This window comes from Homo sapiens, chromosome 6, assembly GCF_000001405.40.
Source record: "Homo sapiens chromosome 6, GRCh38.p14 Primary Assembly".
Lineage (NCBI taxonomy): Eukaryota > Metazoa > Chordata > Mammalia > Primates > Hominidae > Homo > Homo sapiens.
This window is the reverse complement of record NC_000006.12, coordinates 118,491,998-118,519,292: the sequence shown is the minus strand read 5'-3', so window position 1 is coordinate 118,519,292 and position 27,295 is coordinate 118,491,998. Positions and strand designations below refer to the sequence as shown.

Here is a 27,295-nt window from a genome sequence, read left to right as displayed (position 1 = left end):
TAGTAGAGACAGGGTTTCACCATGTTGACCAGGCTGGTCTCGAACTTCTGACCTCGTGATCTGCCCGCCTCGGCCTCCCAAAGTGCTGGGATTACAGGCATGAGCCACCACACCTGGCCCTTTTTTTCCCCCTAACTTCTTAAAGTGGAGGCTGAGATAATTTGAGAGCTTTCTTTTTTTCTGGTATAGGCATTTAGTCTCTCGGACCACAGTGCAATCAAATTAGAACTCAGGATTAAGAAACTCACTCAAAACCACACGACTGCATGGAAACTGAACAACCTGCTCCTGAATGACTACTGGGTAAATAATGAAATTAAGGCAGAAATAAAGATGTTCTTTGAAACCAATGAGAACAAAGACACAATGTACCGGAATCTCTGAGACACATTTAAAGCAGTGTTTAGAGGGAAATTTCTGGCACTAAATGCCCACAAGAGAAAGCAGGAAAGATCTAAAATTGACACTCTAACATCGCAACTAAAAGAACTAGAGAGGCAAGAGCGAACAAATTCAAAAGCTAGCAGAAGACAAGAAATTATTAAGATCAGAGCAGAACTGAAGGAGATAGAGACCTGGAAAACTCTTCAAAATATTAATGAATCCAGGAGGTGGTTTTTTGAAAAGATCAACAAAATAGATAGACTGCTATCCAGACTAATAAAGAAGAAAAGAGAGAAGAATCAAATAGATGTGATAAAAAATGATAAAGGGGATATCACCACTGATCCCACAGAATTACAAACTACTATCAGAGAATATTATAAACACCTTTACGCAAATAAACTAGAAAATCTAGAAGAAATGGATAAATTCCTGGACACGTACACTCTCCCAGGTCTAAACCAGGAAGAAGTCAAATCCCTGAATGGATCAATAACAAGTTCTGAAATTGAGGCAGTAATTAATAGCCCACCAGCCAAAAAAAGTCCAAGACCAGACAGATTCACAGCCAAATTCTAACAGAGGTACAAAGAGGAGCTGGTATCATTCCTTCTGAAACTATTTCAAACAGTAGAAAAAGAGGGAATCCTCCCTAACTCATTTTATGAGGCCAGCATGATCCTGATGACAAAACCTGGCAGAGACACAACAAAAAAAGAAAATTTCAGGCCAATATTGCTGATGAACATCGATGCAAAAATCCTCAATAAAATACTGGAAAACCGAATCCAGCAGCACATCAAAAAGCTTACCTACCACAAACAAGTCGGCGTCATCCCTGGGATGCAAGGCTGGTTCAACATACGCATATCAATAAATGTAATCCATCACATAAAACCAATGACAAAAACAACACGATTATCTTAATAGATGCAGAAAAGGCCTTCGATAAAATTCGACACCCCTTCATGCTAAAAACTCAATAAACTAGGTATTGATGCAGTGTATCTCAAAGTAATAAGAGCTATTTATGACAAACCCACCGCCAATATCATAATGAATGGGCAAAATCTGGAGGCATTCCCTTTGAAAACTGGCACAAGACAAGGATGCCCTCTCTCACACTCCTCTTCAACATAGCATTGGAAGTTCTGGCCAGGGCCATCAGGCAAGAGAAAGAAATAAAAGTATTCAGATAGGAAGAGAGGAAGTCAAATTGTCTCTGTTTGCAGATGACATGATTGTATATTTAGAAACCTGCGTCGTCTCAGCCCAAAATCTCCTTGAGCCGATAAGCAACTTTAGCAAAGTCTCAGGATACAAAATCAATGTGCAAAAATCACAATCCTATACACCAATAACAGACAAACAGAGAGGCAAATCATGAGTGAACTCATTCACAATTGCTACAAAGAGAATAAAATATCTAGGAATAGAACTTAAAAGGGATATGAAGGACCTCTTCAAGGAGCACTACAAACCACTGCTCAAGGCAATAAGAAAGGACACAAATAAATGGAAAAACATTCCATGCTCATGGATAGGGATAATCAATATTGTGAAAATGGTTATGCTTCCCAAAGTAATTTATAGATTCAATACTATCCCCATCAAGCTGCCATTGACTTTCTTCACAGAATTAGAAAAAACTACTTTAAATTTCATATGGAACCAAAAAAGAGTCTAGATAGCCAAGACAATCCTAAGCAAAAAGAACAAAGCTGGAGGCATCACGCTACTTGACTTCAAACTATACTAAAACGCTGCAGTAACCAAAACAGAATGGTACTTGTACGAAGACAGATAGACGAATGGAACAGAACAGAGGCCTCAGAAATAACATCATACACCTGCAACCATCTGATCTTTGACAAACCTGATGAAAACAAGCAATGGGGAAAGGATTCCCTATTTAATGAATGGTGTTGGGAAAACTGGCTAGCCATATGCAGAAAACTGAAACTGAACCCCTTCCTTACACCTTAAACAAAAATTAACTAAAGATGGATTAAAAACTTAAGCGTAAGACCTAAAACCATAAAAACCCTAGAAGAAAACCTAGGCAGTACCATTCAGGACATAGGCATGGGCAAAGGCTTCATGTCTAAAACACCAAAAGCAGTGGCAACAGAAGCCAAAATTGACAAGTGGGATCTAATTAAACTAAAGAGCTTCTGCACAGCAAAAGAAACTATCATCAGAGTGAACAGGCAACCTACAGAATGGGAGAACATTTTTGCAATGTATCCATCTGACAAAGGGCTGATATCCAGAATCTACAATAACTTAAACAAATTTATAAGAAAAAAACAACCACATCAAAAAGTGGGTGAAGGATATGAACAGGCACTTCTCAAATGAAGACATTTATATGGCCAACAAACGTGAAAAAAAGCTCATCATCACTGATCATTAGAGAAATGCAAATCAAAACCACAATGAGATACCATCTCACACCAGTTAGAATGGTGATCCTTAAAAAGTCAGGAAACAACAGATGCTGGAGAGGATGTGGAGAGATAGAAACACTTTTACACTGTTGGTGGGAGTGTAAATTAGTTCAACCATTGTGGAAGACAGTGTGGCAATTCCTCAAGGATCTAGAACCAGACATACCATTTGACCCAGCAATCCCATTACTGGGTATATACCCAAAGGATTATAAATCATTCTCCTATAAAGACAGATGCACATGTATGTTTATCGCAGCACTATTCACAATAGCAAAGATTTGGAACCAACCCAAATACCCATCAATGATACAACTGGGTGAAGAAAATGTGGCACATATACACCATGGAATACTATGCCCAGCCATAAAAACGGATGAGTTCATGTCATTTGCAGGGACATGGATGAAGCTGGAAACCATCATTCTCAGCAAACTAACACAGGAACAGAAAACCAGACACCACATGTTCTCACTCATAAGTGGGAGTTGAACAATGAGAACACACTGACACAGGGAGAGGAATATCACACACCAGGGCCTATCTGGGGGTGGGGGTCTTGGGGAGGGATAGCATTCGGAGAAATACCTAATGTAGATGATGTGGGTGCAGCAAACCACCATGACAGGTGTATACCTATGTAGCAAACCTGCACGTTCTGCACATGTACCCCAGAGCTTAAAGTATAATAAAATAAAAAATAAATTTCTAAGTTCTTCTTTATCAATATCTTACAAATTTTAATTTGTTTGGTTTTCATTTTTGTTCACCTCAAAATACTTAGTTTATCTTCTGATTTCTTCTTTGACCCTAAAGTTATTTACAATTATGTTACATTGTTTCCAAATACTTCAGGATTTTCTAGAATTCTGTCTGTAATTGTTTTCTGATTTAATTTCACTGTGGTCCAAGAATATATTCTATATGAATTGAATTCTTTTAAGTTTGTTGGTGCTTGTTTCATGGCTCAGAAGATCATCTGTTTTAATAAGTGTTTCATGTATCCTTGAAGAGGGTGTGTATTCTGCTGCTTTTGTCTTTTGTGGGGAGTATTCTAGAAATTCCTTTTAGTACAAATCAGTTGATAGTGTTTTTGTCTTTTATATTCTCTTGATTTTCTGTCTACTTGTTCTATTAATGTCAATTATTGAGATCCAGGTGTCAAAATATCCAATTACAATTGTGGATGTATCTGTTTCTTTTCTGTTTTATCAGTTTTTTTGCTTCATGTATTTAGACACTGTGCTCTTAGGCCCAAATGTCATGACGTCTTAATGAATTGATCTTTTTATTATTATTAAGTTATAATTTTTGTCCCTGGCAATATTCTCTGCTCTAACAATCTGTTTTGGCCTGGCAAGTTGGCGCACATCTGTAATTCCAACACCAAGAAGTTGAGGCGGGAAGATCACTTGAAGCCAGGAGTTTGAGACCAGCCTGGGCAACATAGTGAGATTTCACCTTCACAAAATTAAAAAAAAAAAAACTTAGCCGGGCACAGTGGATCCTATATATAGTCCCAGCTATTTGGAAGGCTGAGACAGGAAGATGGCTTGAGCCCAAGAGTTCAAGGCTGTAGTGAGCTCTAATCACACCGCTGCCTTCCAGCCTGAGTGACAGAGTGACACCCTGTCTCTAAAATAGAAAAAAAAAAAATCTGCTTCTACTAATATTAATATAGTTACTCTGGCTCTCTTTTGATTATTTTTAGCACAGGTTTTCCTCTTTTTACTTTTAACCTGTTTGTGTCCTTATGTTCAGAATGGTTTTCTTTCTTGTAGATAGTATATAGTTAGGTCCTACTTTTTATCCATTCTGCCAATGTCTGCCTTTTGTTTGGGAGTATCTAAACCATTTACATGTTGTGATTATTGATATGGTCAAGTTTAAATCTCCTATATTGGTATTTGTTTTCTTTTTTTTTTTTTTTTTTTGAGACAGTGTCTTGCTCTGTCTCCCAGGCTGAAGTGCAATGGCACGATCTCAGCTCACTGCAACCTCTGCCTCCCAGGTTCAAGCCATTCTCCTGCCTCAGCCTCCCAGGTAGCTGGGACTACAGGCATGCATCACCATGACCAGCTAATTTTTGTATTTTTAGTGGAGATGGGGTTTCACCATGCTGGCCAGGCTGGTCTTGAACTCCGGACCTCAAGTGATCCACCTGCCTCAGCCTCCCAAAGTGCTAGGATTACAGATGTGAGCCACTGTGCCTGGCATTGCTATTTGTTTTCTTATTGTCCCATCTGATCTTTGTTCCCCTTTGCCTTCTCTTGAATTAGTTGAATATTTTTTTACAATTCCTGTTATCTCTTTATTGGCATGTTAGCTATACCTCTATTGTTATAATGATTGCTTTAGAGTTTATAATATATTTTAAAGTATAGCAGTCTATCTTCAAGTAATACTATACTATTTTATGTATAATGTAAGAATCTTATAAAGCATAGTTCCATTTTTTTCTCTTCTAGCCTTTGAGCTGTTTTGTCATACATTCTACATCTACAAAGGTTATACAACGTGGATATAAATTTTTTTTTGCCTCAAACAATTTATGATCTTTTAATGAGATTTAAATAATAAGAAAAATATCTTATGTATTTATTTGCCCATGTGTTTATCATTTCTGGTATTCTTCTTTCTTTTGTGTAAATTCAGGTTTTCATCTGGTATATTGTTCTTTTACCTCAAGGTGTTCCTTTATCATTTTTTTTGTAGTTGAAGTCTGGGGTGATCAATTCTTTCAGCTTTTAAGTTTCCAAAAAAGATCTTTATTTAACCTTTAAAAAAATATTTTCTGTGGGTGAAGTATTATAGGTTAACAGGTTTTTTTTGTATGCTTTTTGTGTTGTTTTCAAATTTTTTCTCATGTCAAAAATTTTAGGTTGAGAGCTTTTAAATTTTAGTACTTAAAGTACTTCATTGTCTTATTGATTGCATTATTTCAGTTGAGAAATTTGCCATCCTCTTCATCTTTGTCTCCTTGAATGGATTTATCTTTTTTCCCTCTGGTTGCTATTAAGATTTTATCACTGTAATCTATTTGATTTAGATGTACCTTGTCTTAGATTTCTTCATGTTACTTTTATTTGGGGTTCACTGGGCTTCCTGAACCTATGGGTGTATAGTTCTCATCAGATTTGGTAAAATTTTGGCCTGTTATACACAAATATTTTTTTTCTGTCCCCTACTCCCACCCCCTGCCACCTTCTTACCTCCTCTTTAGAGATTCCAATTGTACATGTATTTGGCCTCTTATAATCTCGCGGCTCACTGATACTATGAGCTTTTTTGTTTTATTTCTTTGTCCTTTTTTCTCTAGTGTTTCTTTTTAGATAGTTTCTATTGCTGTTTTTAAATTTACTGTACTTTTGTGCTGTAATGTCTAATGTTTTAATCACCATTCAGTGTGTTGTTTGTCATGTATGTCTCCTCTTAACATGTTCGTTCATTCTTCTAACTTAAGCATATGAATAGTTATAATAACTGATTTACTATCCTTGTCTATTTTAACATCTCTGTCAGTTCTAGCTCACTTTCAGTTGATTGGATTTTCTTATTATTATGAGTTACATTTTTTCTGCTTTTTTTGTACTCCCAATAATTTTTTGATGCCAGGCATTATGAATTTTAACTTGTTTTTGATATTACATTTTTGTATTCCTGAACTTTATTCTAGGAAGCAGTTTTTGTACTTGCTTTTAAGTTTTGTTAGGTGGCATTAGAGCTGTTTTATCAAGGGTTATTTTTTCCCCACTGAGACAAGACTCATCTTACAAACCCTGGGTTTCTCAGCCTCAGCACTGTTGATTTTTTTTGGATCAGATAATTCACTATTGAGGGTGGCTATCCTGTTCATTGTAGACATTTAGTAGCATCTCTGGCTTCTGCTCACTAGATGCCAGTAACATTCTGCCCCAGTTGTGAAAATTGAAAATGTCTCTGGATGTTGCTAAATGTTAACTGGTTTCAAAACTGTCCCCAGTTGAGAATTGCTGATGCCCTGGGAATCATGAAGCTTTTTATTCTGGCAGTTGGGAATAGCCAGTAATTCCAAGGCACCCTGAAGCACTGTTCCCTGTAATATTTTTTTTGGTTGCCCTTCCACTCTACACACACCGTCGGTAGCTTCCTCATGCCTGTATTAATTAGTATTCAACCGAGTGCCCAAGGGTTATCGAGTACTGTGAACTAACTACAGCTGCCTTGGTTTCTCCAGATTCTCAGCTTTGTGTCTTCAATTCAGGGAGACCACCATTCCTGTGCTGGGGCTTGAAAACTCTCTCAGCAGGAAGTGCAGTCAGTCATAGGGCCCACCTCATTAGTTACCTATCTCTAAGAGATTACTGTTCTTAATTGCCTGGTGGCCCAATGCCTTGAGAGTCTTCACTTCCTATATTTTGTCTTTTTTAAAAAATTGTTTCAGGCATGAGGGCAAAACTAGTCCCTGCCTGCTACTGCACCTTGGCTGGAAAAGGAAGGGTTTTTTTTTTTTTCTTTCTTGTAAAGCTTTAAATTATTTGAAAAGTGTTATATGACGAATCTCTCCTGACTTATCTCCTATTTAATGTTTTATATGTGGATTTTCTTAAAGGTTAGCAAATTTTAGAAATCATCCTGAGTAGAACAAGGTCTTTTGATGCAACCTGAAACATACAACTTACTTGTTCCAAAAGTTACTTTGTAAGTAATTTTGGAAAACATCAAGCTATTTGTTTACTCATACTATCTTTATTATTCTTTAAAAGCTCTCTCCTTCAAAACTTCATCATGAGAGTTAATAAATTTTTGAAGATGAGAGATACTGCATACAAAGCTCTTAGCATCATGCCTGGCACAAAACAGTTTTAAAATTTCTAAGCATACATATTTACAGAAATTAAATAACTTGCTTAAAGCAAGCTATGAGTTGTTGAAGAAAGCAAGGTGTGACTGTTAGAATCTAAGAGGAATATTAAAGGAATCTAAGAGGAATAAGCTCCTTAAGGTTCTTCTAACTATTAGAAAATTATAACTCATAATGTGACCTTAATTTATGTTTTGCAGGCAGAAGCAACAAATTACCCACCTGCATGAGAGGATAAGGGATAATGAATTACGGGCTCAACATGCCATGTTAGGACATTATGTAAATTGTGAGGATTCTTATGTGGCTAGTTTGCAGGTAAGATTACAGAGGATTTTGTAGCTGTTTTAGTAGTAAAGCTTGTGTTAATAATATACTTACCTTGTAATATAAGGACATTTTAAATCAACTTAATAATGTATTCACATGATTTATATTTATTTATATGTGTGGCAAAGAGTGTCCAACTACAGCCTTCCATCTGTCCAGATTGCACACCCCTCTCCACACACATACAGGAACTACTGTTGTCAGTTTCTGGTGTATCCCTTCCAGAGTTGATGCATATCACAAGCAGATATAAGTGTGTTTTATCCTTCTTCTGCATTTAAAAAAATATAAGAATATGTACATTATCTGGCACCTTGCTTTTTTTTAAATGTTATATACAATTATATAACACACAGTGATTATTTCTCTATCATTACCTAGATAACACCCCTTTCCCTTGCTTTTGCAGTTACACGATCTTCTGTTTTATGGAGATAGCATAATTTATTCTACCTGCCCCCTACTCATCAAAATTTGAGTTGTTTTCAGTTTAGGGTTATTGTAAATGATGCTGTAAAGAATAACCTTTTATAAATACTGTTTTGCTCATATGCAGATATTCTTGTAAGTTACATTTCCAGAAGTGAAATTTCTAGGTATTGAGTTTGTGATTTTTACTGATACTGTCAAATTGCTCTTTAGGAGAGCAGTGTATAAGAACTCTCACCGTCCCACTCCCCAACTCCCAGCCATGCTAACAGAGTGTGTTATTAAACTTGGATTTTTGCCCTTCTAGTAGGTCTATATAAAAGAAAGGGGAGATTTATCTCCTTATGGTCATATGGTTTTAATATGTATTTCTCTTAAGAGTGATGTTATATTTCTTTTTATAAATTTAAGGGCCCATTCACATTTCTTTTCATATCCTTTGATCATTTTTTATGTTAGGTTGTAGGTTTTTGCTTATTGTTTTTTGGAGCCCTGTATATATAAAGGAAATTAGCTTTTTGTCTATAATTTAATTTGAAAATAAATTTTCCAATTTTGTCTCAATATTTTGTTTATATTATTATTTCCTTTTCCTCTATGTAATTTTTTCTACAATGAGGTCTGATTCTAATGAGTATTTTATAAATGAATCTCACCTTTACAAATGAGCCTATTTAACCAAACAGTGACATAACATCCACTGTGTTAAATTCTGATGTCACAAAAGTGAAAAATAGTTCCTGCTTTCATGGATCTCAAAACTTACAGAGGGAGAGACCATATAGGAAAACAAGTTTGTCTATTCCTTCTAAATTTATTTGTATTCACTGTAGGTAAGACAGTGTCTACGCCATATGAATAGAAATGTAAATGAGGTTAATTTTGCCCATAAGGAGAGTATAGTCTAATTGGAACACAGATATAGAGTCTATGAGGCCCGTTAACAAAATTTATATGACTGGAATGGCTACTTTCCTTAATTATTACTCAGTTTTAAAAAGAGCTTCCTTTAAAACTTGTTTGCATGTTTATTTTTATATAAACTTTATATTGGTTTATTTCCCAAAGAAAAAGACTGTTGGCGTACTTATTGGGATCTAAAGTGAGGCCTGATAACTTTGTGGTGGTATATACTTCTATTTGTGGATGTTGTTATTGTTGTTCTCTTCATTACGGCCTTTATTCCTAGATTTTAAGTTAAGTGGAATTGTTTCCTTCATCATATCTTCAAATGTGATATTTATAAATACTAGAGACATTGGTATATTAAAATCAGGAAATATTGATGAGAAAATAACTATCAGATTTTCTTGAGGCCAGAGGCATTTAACATAGAGACTCCAACTTGCCTTTTATACTTTAGTTATGAATACATCATGTTATAATTTGGTCTCATCTTGGACTTCTGTCACATGATAGCAAGGCTTTATAATGAGTACTGAGAATAATGTACAGTTATTTGAAAATGGTATTTCTATACTATGGAAGTAGTGTATCTTGCTTTGGTAACAGCATTTTAGTAGAATTGTTCAATTTCTCTTTAACATTCTGTCATTCGGAATAAAGGCTTTAATTATATAATTATCATATTATCGAAAGCATGTAAAAAATAGGTATCTGAAGGATGAAGCAAATGTTCTTTTGACACAGCATCAGGCCAGTAGAGGGCTCTCCAAGCCAGCGTGCAAGGACAAATAAAAATATTAGTATTTGGAAGGATATGTAAAAGGGGTTGTTAAAAATATTAGTAGGATTTTGAAGTATGTGAGGAATTGAAATATTATTGAGAAATCTGATTTTAAAAGATGAGAGCAATTTGTAAAAGAGAATACAAGGAAAATCTTAATACTAAATGGGTATGATAAATATATAAGATAAACTTCTATCAATGGATAGATACAGAGAGCCAATAAAATGGTGAGGGTTAGAAGAAACAGCAGATAGAGTAATAAAATATTTCTTTAGCGAAGGATTTTTTTAACTTTGGATCTTTGAATGATGTAATTTTTTATGCATAGCATTTTGTATAGGTACATTTTTCTGATCCATAACATATTCATCCTAATTCTATAGACACTAGACAAAGAAAATTATGCTTTTAATAATAATTATTGAAATTAATGTGTATTCTAGAGTAAATAAGTCAGTAAAATAAAAGTAACATTTTTAAATGAATTTATAGATGGAAAACATACTCTTAATAAGTAACTTCTATTTTCTTATTAAAAATTTGACTAACCTTACAATTAAGATGACCTTAGAAGTAGATATCACTCAGTCTCATAGGTAGAGAATGAGAACCATGTCTTTATTCTAAAATCCAAACTTTCTGGATAGTTCTAATGGTAGATTGGTAGAGCCAAGGAATAGTTTGTATTTCCATTTATACCTAAATTTCCATCTGTGGTTAACAGGACTTTGTGGAATAAACCAAATATGAAGGACCCTTTTTCTTTACTTAAATTGGAGAAGAAAGAGGTCTCTTCTTTCTGTATATATGTGTACCTTGGAAAGATCAACCAAATAATAGTTACTATTATTAAGTTTCATTGTTGCATCATTTCTTTTCTTTCCATTTTATTCTTTTTCTTTCCATTTATATCATTTTTTTCTATTTTTTCTTCAATTGGTTTGTTTCCACCACCAAGTCTGTACTAATGAACATTTAATAAAATGAATCCCACCTTTGCAAATGAGCCTCCTCAACAAAACATTAAACATCTAATGTGTTAAATTCTGGGAACACAAAAGCAAAGAATGGTTTCTGCCTTTATGGAACTTAAACCCTACAGAGAGAGTATACCAAAAAATATATTTATCCATTTCCTTAAAAATTGTTTATCTTAACTATGGATAAGGTTCCATTTATGCTGTAGCAATAGAAATGTGAATGAAGCTGGTTTTGCCCTCAAGGAATGTGTAGTCTAATGGAGAACACAGACAAGAGATAGTTGCAGTGTGTTGATTCGCACAGGGTTTATGTATGAAGTGCTGTGGGAACCCCAGCTATGAACATAGAAGCTAATCTTCCAAAAGCCTGGCCAGGCTTCCTGTAGGAAGTGATAATCTAGTTTGAGAACCTGATGAACTAAATGAATTGAGCCAGGTGAAGGGGGTGAAGGAATAGTGTTTTGAGGCATAGTGTATGGCATATGGAGAAGCTTAAAGGAATGATGAGAAATATAATGCATTTGGAAAACTACAAATTATTCTGTGTGGATGAAATGTAATGTGAGAGAAAGGTAGTGGTAGATATGTGGTTGAAGAGGTAAGCAAGGGCCGAGTGATATCAATGACCTGAGGTGTAAAGGTTTGCTTAGGGCTGGCCCAGTTTATGCCTGCTGTGCTTATAAATTTATTAATAGTGCCATCTTTCACCTCCAAAGTATCCTAGTTTGGTTACTCTGATGGCATAATAGAGATTGGATTTAAGGTAGATGTTATTGGAGGCAGGGAAACCAGTCAGGAAGCTGTCTCAATAGTCCAAAAGTTATGTGAACATTTGAATTTTATCTGTAGTGGTCAGAATGAGAAGAAGACTGTTGATTAAACATCTGTATGACCAAGCCATGGTAAAATGGGCCAGATTTAATGACATATTTAATGTGGTGAGAGAATGATTGCCTAATTTCATACAGCAACAATTGATTGGTTTATAGAGATTACTATGTTAAGGATCTGTTTAGAGGAGAAAAATAGTGAGTTAAACTTACACATTGTAAATTTGGGGTTGAGTGAAGAATGAGGGTAATATTTGTGGGTGCAGGTCTGAGCCAGAGATAAGAGATTTAGGTGTTGTCAGTCTAGGTGGGTGGTTATTAAAGCCTTGGGCATGATCAGGTATTCCAAGGGAGGATTTGTGCAATGAGAGGAAAATGGGATCCAGAACTAGAAACAGGAAACAGCAGCATTTTAGAAGGTAGCAGAAGAGCACAACTTGTGAAGGAGCCTGAGGGAGTTGTTCTAGAAAGGAAAGCAAGCAAGTGTTTTTCCATAGAAAGGGAACCGTTGTATAAAAGTCAGAGAAGGCAGATAAAGGTTGAAAAGATGTTACTAAATGTAGAAATTAAAACATCTGACCTCAGATTTTTGTTTTTCTATATGATTAAGTTCACATAGAGTTTCAACTACAGCTTGTCTTGCTACAAAACACATTTCTATGGTGCAAATTTGCTCATACACAATTGGTAAATAGGAGAATGATGTCTGCTTAGTTTTCTAGATTGGTTCATAAGTGCTTTCCCCCACCAACTCCCCAGGCAAGGGGAGTTAGAATATGGTGAATAAAATTAAAATATTTGGCCAGCAAAGCAAAAGGCTTAGGGTTACCTACTACATTAGCAGAAGCTTTTTCCAACTTACATAAGAAAATTGTAAAAGAGTACCTGCCCTTTGGGTGCTCTTCCTTGAGAAGTGCACTTCCTTCTTTATAGACTTTCAGTTCACGCCAGGTTATGCTCCCTCCTACTCCACCTGCACGGCAAGCCCTATATCACAGAGTCCACCTATATCATCTGAACACTCACCAGACCTCTAATTAAAGTACCGCCAGCATTTTGACTGTGTGTGTATGTGGTTTTAAAATATCACTGTGACCACCTGTTCAGACTGTCCAAGTTATCTCCTGAGTCACTGTTTTTGTTAGTGCACTAGTTAAAATTGCATCAGTTTGAATTGAGTGTTTTTAATCCTATTCGTTCCATACGCCCTATTATTTTTAGTGCATGATTTTCCAGGAATGTCTATATTGCATTATAGTAGAAGCACCTGTGTTAACTTTTTAAAAATTTATTAACTTTACTTTTTAGAGCAGTTTTACATTTACTACAAAATTGAATGGGAAGTACCAAGATCTCCCATATCCTCCATATCTTCACACGTGCTCAACCTCCCCCACTATCAATGTTTTGTACCTTAGGGTACATTATTTATAATTAGTGAACCTATATTGACACACCATTAACACTCAAAAACCAATAGTTTATATTAGGATCACTCCTGGTGTTGTGCAATCTAAGGGTTTTGACAAATTAGTAATGACATGTATCCACCATTATCGTATCATGCAGAGTAGTTTCACTGCCCTAGAAATTTTCTGTGCTCTGCCTGTTCAACCCATTGGACCCCTAGCAACCACTGAACTTGTTATGGTCTCTATAGTTTTGCCTTTCCCAGAATGTTATGTAATTGGAATCATATAGTACATACTATTCAAACCATTTCTTTTTAAACTGGCTTCTTTCACTTAGTAGTATGCATTTAAGTTTCCTCTATATCTTTTCATGGCTTGATAGTTCATTTTTCTTTATTACTGAATAATGTTCCGCTTTCTGGGTATATCACAGTTTAGTGCATGATTTTCCAGTGGTTTTCCAGGAATGCATATATTTGTATTATAGTAGAAGCATCTGTGTTAACTTTTTTTTTTTTTTTTTTTTTTTTTTTTTGAGTACAGTGACGTGATCTTGGCTCACTGCAACCTCCGCCTCCTGGGTTCAAGCAATTCTCCTGCCTCAGCCTCCTGAGTAGCTGGGATTACAGGCGCGTGTCACCACACACAGCTAATTTTTGTATTTTTATTAGAGACGGGGTTTCAACATGTTGGCCAGGCTGGTCTTGAACTCCTGACTTCATGATCTGCCTGCCTTAGTCCCGCCAAAGTGCTGGGATTACAGGTGTGAGCCACCGCGCCTGGCCCCACCTGTGATAACTTTTTGAAAATTTATGAATTTTATTTTTTAGAGCAGTTTTAGGCTGACTACAAAATTAAATGGGAAGTACCAAGATTTCCCATATCCTCCATATCCCCACACATGCACAGCCTTCACCTACTGAAGGGCATCTTGATAATTTCCAAGTTTTGGCAATTATGAGTAAAGCCGCTGTAGTGATATAGGAAAAACCAAAGATGCATTTTTCCCACTCTACTCTCCACTCAGCACAGTACTTCTGCACCACATGTATGGTATTTGTTTCCCTACACACCAGGCAGTCAGTTCTGCATATTCTTCAGCAGACACCATCTGGGTGTCTGTCTTCTAATTTAATCCTGACACTGTATGTGTAGAGATAGCGTCAGAACCCACAGACTGAGGACTCACTACCACAAGACTGCCCTCCACTTCAGATGCCAATTTCAAGTCCCAAATGCTTCTTACCAACTGGCTATAAATCAGAGTTCACATAACTCCCTCCCTGGGTTTGATTAACTTGCTGAAACTCAGAAGCTTTTTACTTACACTTAACCCATTTGTTATAAAGGATATTAGAAAAGATACAGATGAACAGCCAGATTGAAGAGATGCATAGGGGAAGGTATGAGATAAGGAATGTGGAGATCCCATGCCATCTCCAGGGGTGCCACCCTTCAGGAGGGAACTTCCACATATTCAGCTGTCTAGAAGTTCTGTAGACCTAGTATTATTATTTTTTTTTAAATGTAAGCTTCATTATGTAGGTATGATTTTTTTTTTTCTTTTTTTGAGACAGAGTCTCCCTCTGTTGCCGAGGCTGGAGTGCAGTGATGCGGTTTCGGCTCACTGCAACCTCCGCATACTGGGTTCAAGCGATTTTCCTGCCTCAGCCTCCTAAGTAGCTGGGACTACAGGCATAAACCACCACACCCAGCTAATTTTTGTATTTTTAGTGAGAGACAGGGTTTCATTAGGTTGGCCAGGCCAATCTCGAACTACTGGCCTCAAGTGATCCGCCTGCCTCGGCCACCCAAAGTGCTGTGATTAGAAGTGTGAGCTACCGCGCCCGGCCTATTATTTGTACATTTTGGATAACAGGTTTTTTTTGTTTGTTTGTTTTTAGATCAGATGCATCTTTTACAAATATTTCTCCTGGTCTGTGGCTTGTTTTCTCATTCTCCTGCCATTGTTTTTTGGAGGGAAAAAGTTTTTAATTTTAATGAAGTCCAGCTTATCAGTTCATCCTTTCATGGATTCAGCATTGATGTTATATCTAAAAAGTCATTGCCATAGCCAAGTTCATCTAGATTTTCTACCTTTTTTTTTTTTTTTGGAGTTTTATAGTTTTGTGTTTTAGGTCTGTGATCCATTTTGAATTAATTTTTGTAAAAAATATAAGGTCTGTGTCTAGTTTCTTTTTTTTTTCTTTGCATGTGGATGTCCAATTGTTCAGCACCATTTGTTGAAAGGGCTGTTTTTTCCCCTGTATTGCATTTGCTCCTTTGTTAAAGATCAGTTGACTATATTTATGTGTCCTATTTCTGGACTCTCTATTTTGTTGTATTGATTAATTTTATATTTTATCACTAATACCACATTGTTTTGATTACTGTAGCCTTATTATAAGTCTTGAAGTTGGGTAGTGTCAGTACTCCAACTTTGTTCTTTTCCTTTAGTATTGTGATGGATATTCTGGGTCTTTTGCCTCTTCATATAAACTTAGAATCAGTTCATTGAATCTACTAAGTAATAAGCTAGGATTTTGGTTGGGATTGTGTTGAATCTATAGATCAAATTGGAAAGAACCAACATGTTCACAATATTGAGTCTTCCTATCCATGAACATGGAATATCTATTCATTTATTTAGTTCTTCTTAGAACATTTTTAGAAGAGTTTTATAGTTGTCTTCATATAGATCTTGAACATATGTTGTTAGATTTATACCTATCTTATTTTTTGATTGCTTATATAGATGGTAGTGAATTTTTTAATTTTTATATTCCACTTGTTCATTGTTGACATACTGAAAAATGATTGACTTTTGTGTGTTAACCTTGTATCCTGTAACCTTGCTATAATTAGTTCCAGGAAGGTGTTTTTTGTTTGTTTTCACTGTTCCGAAGTTTAATTAAAAGCACAATTTACAAATATTTGATATCTTGTGAAAGCGTTTTTAAGTTAAGAATGGAAAAGTATGTACATAATACATAATCAAATACCAGGTGGCCTCAACTCCCACTAGGTCCACTCCGTGTCTTTTTAGGTTCTTCAAGATCTTCTGTTAAATCTACAAAGTTGTTTTCCATGACAGGGGAAGGAATGGAAATCCCCATTGCTTTTTGAACTCCATACATGCTTACGATATCACCTGGAGTTACTTGTTGTACAAGTTCTTTAAGATTATTGGTCACCTGTTCAGCAAGATGCATTTCTTTGTATGAGGGATCCAAGAGACATCATATTGGGAAGGGGTCAGGTGTTCAAATGCTCATTGAGCTGGAGCTCCCTGAGCAATTTGTTGGTCTCATCAGGTTTCTTCTGGAATACTTCAGCTTCTTCAAGAGTCAAAAACTTCAACCGGAGCGCCAAAGTTTGTTACTGCTTTCAGTGCCATGAGCCTATCTTGAGTATTAGAGTCCAAATGTCCTGCTGGCTCTACTTGTGTAATCTCCATTTGTTTTGCTGTGTCAAGTGTCCTAGTATGGCCTTCATCGTCAGGTGATATCTCCAACTCTTATAGGGCCCTGGAATCCCCTCCTTTTGTTAAAACATCCAGCAAACTATCTGTCTTAACATATGGGTAATCTTGGCATGGGGCCAGAAACTCATGGTTGCTGAAATTGCTTGGAAGATCAGTCTTCCCCCATAGATTGCATAGATTAAATCTGAATTATCCTTGCTGATATTCATAAATGTGGAGTCATAATGCGGTACATAAGAACTCCAGGGTCCATAATTCAAATATAACCCTGGAGTTACTTTGTTCCTTTTATCCTCTTTGAACCCCTGCAGAATATTCACTCCAGACTGAAGTCTTCCAGTTGTCATTCCCAGTCTCATAGGGCAGTATTCTGGCTCTCCTACAATGGGATCCACAGGATGGGGAAGTCCCAGTCTTCTTGTTCCATCTGGTTTTCTTCTTTCAAATTCCCACTGACTGTTAACAAGCCACCTGGTCAGTTTTCCTCCAGATTCCTTCATGATGCAGTCAAGCTGCTCCTACTGTCTCTCTAAATTACTGCTTTTAAACTTAAAAGCATATCTTTGTCTTTCTTTTTATTTTCTTTGCTGGGACTCTTGAAGGCTTGTGCTTCGGCATCTCCAGAGTCCTCTCTCTCTCTCTCTCTCTCTCAGCCAGCAGCCTCCATCCTCCCCACTCTGTGAGATGTCTGTTCTGTCTTTCTGCTTTCAAGTTTTTTCAAGTTAGCCATGAAGTCTGTGGTCTGCTTCAGGCTCTGAATTTTTTCCTGGCTAAAAATTTTCATCTCTGAGTGTAACAGCTTCTTTGCAGCTTTATAATAAGTGGTCTCTGGTTTGTTGTAAATCATGGCATTAGTACATATTGGTTTGAAGTTATCCGTTAGTTCTTCACTGTTCTTGATCTCTTCTTTCATGTTGCTGAGATCCATTGGGTGTTTAATGATGATGGAGTAGCCAGGAGCAATAAAATCACAGAAAACGAAAAGAGCACTTGGATCTTTTCTCTGCAGCTGTCTCATCAGTTGATTCATGTTCTCAGGCCCCAGCTAGGTCTCATGGGCTGTCTTCTCAAGAGGGGCCTTGTGCCACCTGGCACACATGCTAACCCCCTGCATTGGCGTGCGGGGTTTGGTAGGCCCTGCTCCTGTCCTCCACCTCGCCTGGCCTGGACCAGAAGTGGCACCCCAAGGCCTGGGCCTGGCATGGGAGGTGGGCACCAGGGCCTGGTCAGACATGGGCAAGGAGCACAAGTCAGAGAAGCACCTCTACAAAGAGTATGTGGAAAAGCCCTTGAAGCTGGTCCTCAAAGTAGGAGGGAAAGCAGTTACTGAGCTCTCCACGGGCAGTTTGGAGCACTGCTCCAGCCTCTTCAAAGACAAAAACAATCATGACAAACACAAGGACAGAAAGTGGAAAAAGAGAAAGAAAGGAGAGAAGCCAGTTCTGGGGGAAGAAAAGGGGAGAAAGCAGAATTGAAGAGGACAAAAATAAGCGAGATCAAGACCATGTGGAGAATGAGGCAGAAAAAGACTTCCAGTGTCATGCCCCTATGAGATTAGACTTGCCTCCTGAGAAGCCTCTCACAAGCTGTTTATCCAAACAAGAAGAAGTAGAACAGATGTCCCTTCAAGATGTTTGTTTGTTTGAGACAGGGTATTGCTCTGTTGCTTAGGCTGGCATGCAGTTGCACAATCATATGTGCAATTGTAGCTTGTTGAGCACCCGATTTTGTTGCTGTTTGGGGCAGTACTTGTAGCCTGCATGGACCTTGGGAGACTGAACAAAGGGGGTGAACGTGGGAATAAAAGACAAAGACAAAAGAGTATAATTGGAAGAAGGGGTCGGGGGCACCTTGCCTCTAGTGGACAGGGTCCTTGAGCTTTTTCAGCCCTCTGAATGTATTAGGTAAAAGAGATAACGAGAAAGAGAGGGTGATTGTTGAGTAATTATCAGTCAGCCTGTTTGGTTCACAGCAGGCTTGTGAGACTGCATCCTTCGAACAATAGGTGCTAGATTTCCCAGTAGATAACTTCAAGGAGCCCAGCGCCAGGGAGTGATGGTCCTCAGGAAACCTTTTAGCAGCAGGTGCAGTGTGAGTTTGCCCACGTCCTGCGTTCATGATAAATAGTTTGCTGTTTGATCATATAGCCACCAGTGGAATGCTGAGTTGGTCACGGTCCCTTTGGCATTTTTGGCTCCCAGCAGTAGCTCACTACAGCCTCCAACTCCTGGGCTCAAGCAATCCTTCTGCCTCAGCCTCCTGAGTGGCTGGGAGTACAGGTGTGTGTCACCATGCCTGGCTAATTAAAAAAAAAAATACTTTAGTAGAGGCAAGGTCTCACTATGTTGCCTAGGCTGGTCTTCAACTTCTGGGCTCAAGTGATCCTCCTGCCTTGGCCTTCCAAGGTGCTGGGATAACAGTCATGAGCCACTGCACCTAGCCAGGAGTTTTTTTGTATGGATTCTTTTTGACATTTTATAAAAGATGATCATGTTATCTGTGAACAATGATGGTTTTATTTCTTCCTTCCTTTCCAATCAGTATACCTTTTATGTACTCTTTTTGTCTTATTGCATTAGTTAGCACTTCCAGTATGATGTTGAAAAGCAGTAGTGAGAGGGGACATTCGTGCATGCTTTTTGATCTTGGTGGCGAAGCTTCAAGTTTCTCACCACTATAAATATAATGTTAGCTATACTTGTATTTTGTATATGTTCTTTATTAAATTGAAGAAGCTTCCTCTATTACTAGTTTGCTGAGAGTTGTTTTTTTGTTTGTTTTGTTTTTTGTTTTTTTTGAGACAGAGTCTCACTCTGTCCCCCAGGCTGGAGTGCAGTGATGCGATCTGGGCTCACTGAAACCTCCGTTTCCTGGGCTCAAGTGATTCTCCTGCCTCAGCCTCCCGAGTAGCTAGGACTACAGGTGGCTGCCACCATGCCTGGCTAATTTTTGTATTTTTAGTAGAGACGGGGTTTCACCCTATTGGCCAGGCTGGTCTCAAACTCCTGACCTTGTGATCCACCCGCCTCAGCCTCCCAAAGTGCTGGGATTACAGGCATGAGCCACCGTGCCTGGCCAAGAGTTTTTAATCATGAATGGGTGTTAGATTTTGTCAAGTGCATTTCGTGGATTTGACATAATCATGATTTGTCTTTTTTAGCCTGTTGGTGATGGAGTACCTTAATTAATTTTCAAACATTGAACTTTTAGTTTCTTTTGTTTATTTCAGATTTACTTTTTCTAGTTGATATTCTCTACTTTTTCTGATTTCCTAGGTGGAGGCTTAGATGATTTATTTTAGATCCTTTTTTTCTTATCTAATATATGCATTCAATGCTATAAATTTCTAAGTACTGCTTTCACTGGATACCACAAATTTTGATAGGTTGTATTTTCCTTTTCATTTAGTTGACATTTTTAAATTTCTCTTGAGATTTCCTTTTTAACCTATGTATTATGTAGAAGTGTGTTGTTTAATCTCCAGGTATTTTGGGATTTCCCAGCTGTCTTTCTGTTTTTGATTTCTAGTTTAATTCCACTATGGTCTGACAGCAGACATTGGATGATTTTTTATCTTTTTAAGGTGTATCTTATGGCCCAAAATGTTGTCCGCTTTGGTGAATGTTCCAGGTGAGCTTGAGATGAATGTGTGATGCCATTTTTGGATGAGTAGTCTACAGATGTCAGTTACAGTTAATTGATTGATGGGGCTGTTGAGATAAATTACACCCTTACTGATTTTCTGCCTGTTGAAACTGTCCATTTCTTTTCTTTTCTGTTTCCCTCCTTCCCTCCCTCCCTCCCTTTCCTCCCTTTCCTCCCTTTTTCCTTTCCTTTCTCTCTCTCTATTTTTTTTTTTTTTTTTAACAGATTGGGTCTCACTATGTTTCCTAGGGTGGTCTCAAACTCCTGGGCTCAAGCCATCCACCTGCCTTGGCCTCCCAAGCTGCTAGATTTGTCCATTTCTGATACAGTTGTTAAAATCTCCAACTGCGATAGTAGATTAATCTGTTTCTCTTTGTAGTTCTGTCAGTTTTTGTTTGATGTATTTTGATGCTTAGCTGTAGATTTTTTTGTAGTGTTCCACACTTTGTCTTTTATCATTTGTATTTATTTATTTTTATTTTTTGTAGATATGGGGGTCTCACTATGTTGCCTAGGCTGGTCTCGAACCCCTGACCTTAAGTGATCCTCCTGCCTCAGCCTCTCAAAGTACTGGGATTACAGGCATGAGCCAACCATTTCCCAGTCATTTTAATTGAGCATTTTATATTAATCAATTTTTCTCTTTCTACTTTATTACACTTCTCTTTTTACATTCTTTAGTGGTTGCCCTATAGTTTTCATTTACATTTATAACTAATCCAAGTCTGCTGTCAAGTAACCCTACACCACCTGAAGGTAATGAAGTGTACCTTATGATAAGTACCATATAATAGCAAAATACTTCTAATTCCTCCATCTTCCTTCTCATCCTTGTATCATTGTTATCAGTCATTTCACTTATTCATAAGCATATGTATACATACATGCACACATACACAGAAACATACATAAATGATTACATTGTTGCTGTAATTAAAATGTCACTTGTTAGATCAATTAAGAATAATAAAGCTTTAAAAATTTTTACCTTCACTTATTCCTTTTCCGATGCTCTTGCTTTCTTTGTCTAGATGTGAGTTTCTGACCTGTGTCATTTCCCTTCTCTCTGAAGGCTTTTAACATTTCTTGCAAAGCAGATATACTGGCCACAAAAATCCTTCAATTTTTGTCTGTGGAAGTCTTTCTCTTTCGCTCTTGAAGGATAACTTCAGAGTGTATAGCAGAAGTCCCTAACCTTTTTGGCACCAGGGTCTGGTTTTGAGGAAGACAATTTCTCCACAGACCTGGGGAGGGGGTGTGGTTTGGGATGATTCAAGCACATAACATTTATAGTATACCTCATTTCTATTATAATTACATTTTAATATATAATGAAATAATTGTACAACTCACCATAATGTAGAATCAGTGGGAGCCCGGAGCTTGTTTTCCACAACTAGACGGTCTCATCTGGGAGTGTTGGGAGTCAGTGACACCCAAAGTTTGTTGATTATGTCCAGTCTACTCTGTAATCTCATTTTGGTCGCTATCATTGCAGAAAACCCTGCTTCACAAAGATATGATGTTGGAAATGGAAGCAGGCTTTTCAGTGCTTTTGTGGCAATCTCAGGATATTCTGCCTTGACTCTAATCCAAAATGTATGGAGACTTGAAGTTGTCTCAAACATACTTTTAAGACCACTGTCATTTGCAGTCTCAAGCAGTTGATTCTCTTCTAGTGTGGACAAAGTTGATTCACCTGGCAATTTACAAGTGGGTCGCTATCCATTTCTTCCCAGTTCGGGTTTTTTTATGGTTGGGAATTAATGCTCAGATTCTTTAAAAAGCTGAGATAGGTGATCCATGTACCAGCTGGGAGAAAGAAGGCCCTGGCTCAGTCTGTTTCAAGATTTCTGCTAATGTTTGAAACATGTCAGAAATCCCAATGTTTATGCATTGCCCTCATAATACTAGTTTGGCTTTGAATGCAGCCACTTTTATCTGTTGACTTGAACACCGTTGTCATTCTCCCTTGAAGTGACAACAGATTGACTTCATTGAGCAGGTTGAATATGTTACATAAGTAAGCAAGTTTTGTGAGCCATTCTGTGTCACTGAAATGTGTTGCCAGTGGTGACTGTTTTTCTAAAAGAAATCTCTGGAGTGGCTCTTGTAACTCAAAAACTCTGGCCAGTAATCTACCTTTAGAAAGCAATCACTTCTGGCCGGGCACAGTGGCTCACGCCTGTAATCCCAGCACTTTGGGAGGCCGAGGTGGGTGGATCACGAGGTCAGGAGTTCGAGACCAGCCTGACCAACATGGTGAAACCCAATCTCCACTAAAAGTACAAAAATTAGCCGGGCTTGGTGGCGCATGCCTGTAATCCCAGCTACTCAGGAGGCTGAGACAGGAGAATTGCTTGAACCCCGGGGGTGGAGGTTGCAGGAGCCGAGATCGTGCCATTGCACTCCAGCCTCATAAAATAAAATAAAATAAAATAAAATAAAATAAAATAAAAAATATAAAATAAAATAACACAAAGCAATCACTTCTGTGTATAAGAGATGACGTGTGTGCCCTGCGTCCATCTCCTCACAGAGCTGCACCATCAGATGTGGGTTAAGGGCATGTACTTAATGTGGTTGATAATTTTAAGGATATCCTGCAAAATGTTGCTAAATTCAGGTGACATTTTTCAGCTAGCCAGCATTTCTCTATGGGTGACACAATGTGTGGAGTCACATGCAGAAGTGACCATCTGACCCAAGTTGTGAAGCCAGAAGGACATCCAGTTATGGAAGCCTCTCTGTCTGTGCGTATACTGACACAAAATGACCAATTCCATTTTTCTGATATGTAATCATTCAAAGACTTGAATAATTCTGCAGCTGTGGTGTTGGTTGGCAATAAAAGTGCGTATGACATATCCTCTTGCACATCCTTCTGAAAATATATCACACAAAAGCAAGCCTTGTTGCCTTGTTAACATTGATAGACTTTTCAACCTGGATTGCATACCACAGTGACTCATTCATCCTCTTTAACAACTGTGCCTCAATATCCTCTGCTGTTTCATCAGTTCATTTTGTTGTGATGGCTGAAAGATGAAAGATGAACACATGTCACCTTTTGAACTGCAGCGTCTCCTAAGAGTTCATGACAAATGTGCTTGGCAGCAGGCAGGATCACCTCTTCACCAACAGTAAAGGGCTTTGTATTAGTCTGTTCTGATGCTGCTATAAAGAACTGCCTGAGACTGGATAATTTATAAAGGAAAGAGGTTTAATTGACTTACAGTTCCGCGTGACTGGGGAGGCCTCAGGAAATTTAAATTCATGGTGGAAGGGGAAGCAAACACATCCTTCTTCATATGATAGAAGGAAGAAGTGCTGAGCAAAGAGGGAAAAGCCCTTTGTAAGACCATCAGATCTCAAGAGAACTCACCCGCTATCACGAGAACGGTAGCATGGGGGTAATCGCCCCCATGATTCAATTACCTCCCACTGAGTCCCTCAACATATAGGGATTATTGGAACTACAATTCAAGTTGAGATTTGGGTGGGGACACAACCAAACCGTGTCATTCCACCCCAGCACCTCCCAAATTTCATGTTCTCACATTTTAAAACACAATCATGCCTTCCCAACAGTCCCCTAAAGCCTTAACTCATTCCAGCATTAACCCGAAAGTCCAAGTCAGAAGCCTCATGTGAAACAAGGCATGTTGTTTTTTTAAGGTTTTTTTTTTTTCTCTTTTTCAGTATTGGAAGTTTCTGTCATCATATCCCAAGTTCAGGAATTGTTTCCTCAGCCAGGTCTACTCTGCTAATGAGTCCCTCAAGGACATTCTTTATTTCTGTTAGTGTTCTCAATCTTTAGCATTTCTTTTTTATTCTTTTCTAGAATTTTTATCTCTACACTTACGTTATCTGTATGTTCTTGTATACTGTCTACATTTTCTATCATAATCTTACTAATCCTAGTTGTCAAAAATCCCTGGTCTGATAATTCTGACATTCTTGCCATATCTGACTCTGTGTCTGATGCTTTGTGGTCTCTTCAAACTGCGTTTTTTGCCTTTTTGCGTGTCTTGTAATTTTTGTTGAAAGTAGACATGATGTCCAAGGTTTAATAAGTGTGGTAAATAGAGCTTTAGTAATGCAGTGGTAAAGTGTGCAGGGAAGGGGAAGTATTCTATAGTCCTGTGTTTAGGTCTCAGTCTTTTGGTGAATTTGTTCCTCTGGATTGTGAACTTCAGTTTTCTAAGATTTTTTCTTTCCCCACCCTTAGGCGGGACAGGATGGCAGGAGGGCGATGGAGTTGGTATTTCCACAGGGAAGGCCAAAGGAGCTTGATTTGTGTATTAACCCTCCTCTATGTGGAAGGCTGGAGTTGGCTGGAGTTGGGTTATTCCCTTTACCCCAACTACGTTAAGCTCTGATAAAACCCCAGCAGTTTAGGCTCTGGTAAAATAGTTTCTCCTGACGGCAGGCATTTTTAAGAACAGAATGCTCTGGCATATTTTAAATGGTTCCTTTTCCCCTCCCCCTGCCAGAAACAGGAGGGGATTTTTCTCTGATACTCACTGAAGATCTTGTAGAACACTCCTGGAGGTAAAACTCACAGACATATGGAAACCTCCTGTATGATTGGGTCCCCGTGGAATTTTTAACTCTCAGATTTATCTACTCCAAGTCTCTAGCAATTCATTAGTTACAGATTTTCCCACCCTGGCTCTTCTACTAATGGGTTTTTGCTTTATTAGGTTATGAACCTCTGTTTCTACCTATCCTTTTTTTCCAGTTTTGGAGGCAGCAGTTTGCCCTGTAACCTCATTTCTCTCACAGACTTTAGAAGACTTGTTGATATTTCAGTTTTTTCAGCTTTTTATTTTATTTTTTTTAGGACTGAGTGGCGACTTCTGATATCTTTACACGCTGGGCTAGAAACTGGAAGTCTGTATTAGCTTTTTATAGTTTCATAGCCTAGCCATCTTCCTGAGTTCCATATCTATCTTTCTGCCTGGTGTCCATCTGTACTTGTATATTCAAATGAAATAATAATCATAGGCTCTAATTATATTAAGTATATCTGCTTAAGTATAACCTATTTTTCTATATAACCTACTGTTCTTCTTTATATTTACTTCTGCCCAGAAGATAATCTTCCGTATTAGTTAGACAAAATCTTAAACCTTGGTTATCTTTAACATTTATTTTCCATTTACATCTTTAAATAATCATTTTCTCTAAATCCTTTCACCCTGCTTCCAGTTTCTTCATTCTGTTCTCCATGCTCTATATCAGCTCCTTGTTTCTTTTCAGCTAAATTAGTTAGAATAATTTCTTTAAATGATAACATCCATATTCATTCTCAGTGCATCTTGTTCACTGAATCTAGCTTTGTCCTATTTCTTCTAGCACTCTCTTGTCTTTTTCCTCTCATCTCTTCCCTTTCATCAGACTTGCTCAGAGTCTAGACACTAGATTGAATGCTGGGGAATATAGAGATTTACAAAGCCAAGTTCACAATTCTTGGAATTCTACAGGAAGGCTGCAACCTAGATTTGTAAGTTTTCCCTTTTATTCTGCCCACTTGTAACCTATAAACATGACATGATAACTCTCTGTATCTACTTTTTAACCTTTTTAAAAATGTTCTTTCTAGAATGCCTGTTCCTTTTTCCATTCTTGCCAGAATCTGTTTTTCAAAATCTGTCTCAAAAGCCACCTCTCCAGAAAAGCCTTTTTCCTCATTCGCTCAATGTCTTCATGTATCCTACTTTCTCCCAATACTTTGTACTTAACATGGCCTTTATTTGGCTACCATATTCATTCTGTTCTATATTACAATCATCTAAAGGCTTCTCATGTCTCTGATTAAAATTTGAGTTTGTAAAGGGTGAGTCTGCCATCTTTGAAATAGCCTGGACATGATAAATGCTATTTCTGTAATGGTTGAGTTGCATGCTTACCTTTTGGGAAAGTATCAGTTCTTCAAGGCCTAGTTCAAATTTACTTCTGTAACACCCTCCCTTAGCTACTGCACATGTAACTATCTTAGCACTTAGTTTCATTGTCTTTTTTTGGTCTTTTTGTGTATGACACATTAAACTGGTGGGATCTGATTTTATTAACTGTAGAATCCCCAGCACCTAGCACAATGCCTAACGTATGTGCTTTGTAAATATCTTTTAAATAAATGGAAAAATAACCTCTTTCTTTGCTTTTACAGTACTTTGTTGATATCTTTTTACAGCACTTAACCACATGCTGATTTGTTTGAAGGAATATTTGTATTTCCTGCCTTCCTCTTCCAGATTTTAATCCTACATGGGGGAGAGGGAATATCTTCCCCTTGAAAAGAATTTCCTTCAAAGCCTTGCTCATAGAAGCAATAATACATTTATTCATTCAACAATTATTTTGTGAGTACTTATTTTGTGCCATTTTTTTCTATGCAATAGGGAATATAAGATGGACACTTTGAGATGGACAAGAATCCCCGATTCATGGATCTTACTTTCTAGTTAGAGAAACATTCTATTAATACATATTGAATTTAGTATTAGCTGGAAATGATTAACTGTGAAGAAATTTTTCTTTAGTTTTTATTTATTTACTTAGAACTTTCACTTTTATATGATTAATGTATATACTGTACTATTTACATGTTGAAGTATACTTTTAAAATCAAATAATAGCTGTCTTTCATGAAGTTTCTCCTATATGCTGGAAACCTTACATACTTTATCTTTCTTCAAAAAACACTGCAAAGTAGGCTTTATTGTTTCTGTTTTAGAGATGAGAAAACCAGGGTTTTGAGAAGGTAAGTAATTTACTTTAATTATGGTACATAACTAGGAAGCAAGATAGCT

At 37.5% G+C, this 27,295-nt stretch overlaps 1 protein-coding gene and 1 pseudogene across 15 annotated transcripts in view; one reads left to right on the top strand and one right to left on the bottom strand.

Annotated features, from left to right (window-relative positions):
• The window catches only part of CEP85L (centrosomal protein 85L), a 249,318-nt gene that overhangs the window by 190,797 nt on the left and 31,226 nt on the right, over positions 1 to 27,295 (top strand). For all 14 annotated transcript variants that reach the window (XM_011535811.2, NM_001178035.2, XM_011535810.3 and 11 more), the window contains one exon: positions 7,878 to 7,995. In XM_011535811.2, coding sequence (XP_011534113.1) covers positions 7,878 to 7,995 — 118 coding nt within the window. The remainder of the gene's footprint in view (positions 1 to 7,877; positions 7,996 to 27,295) is intronic.
• On the bottom strand, positions 15,447 to 17,920 carry BRD7P3 (bromodomain containing 7 pseudogene 3; annotated as a pseudogene). The gene has a single exon (NR_002730.2). The product of NR_002730.2 is annotated as a bromodomain containing 7 pseudogene 3 (transcript).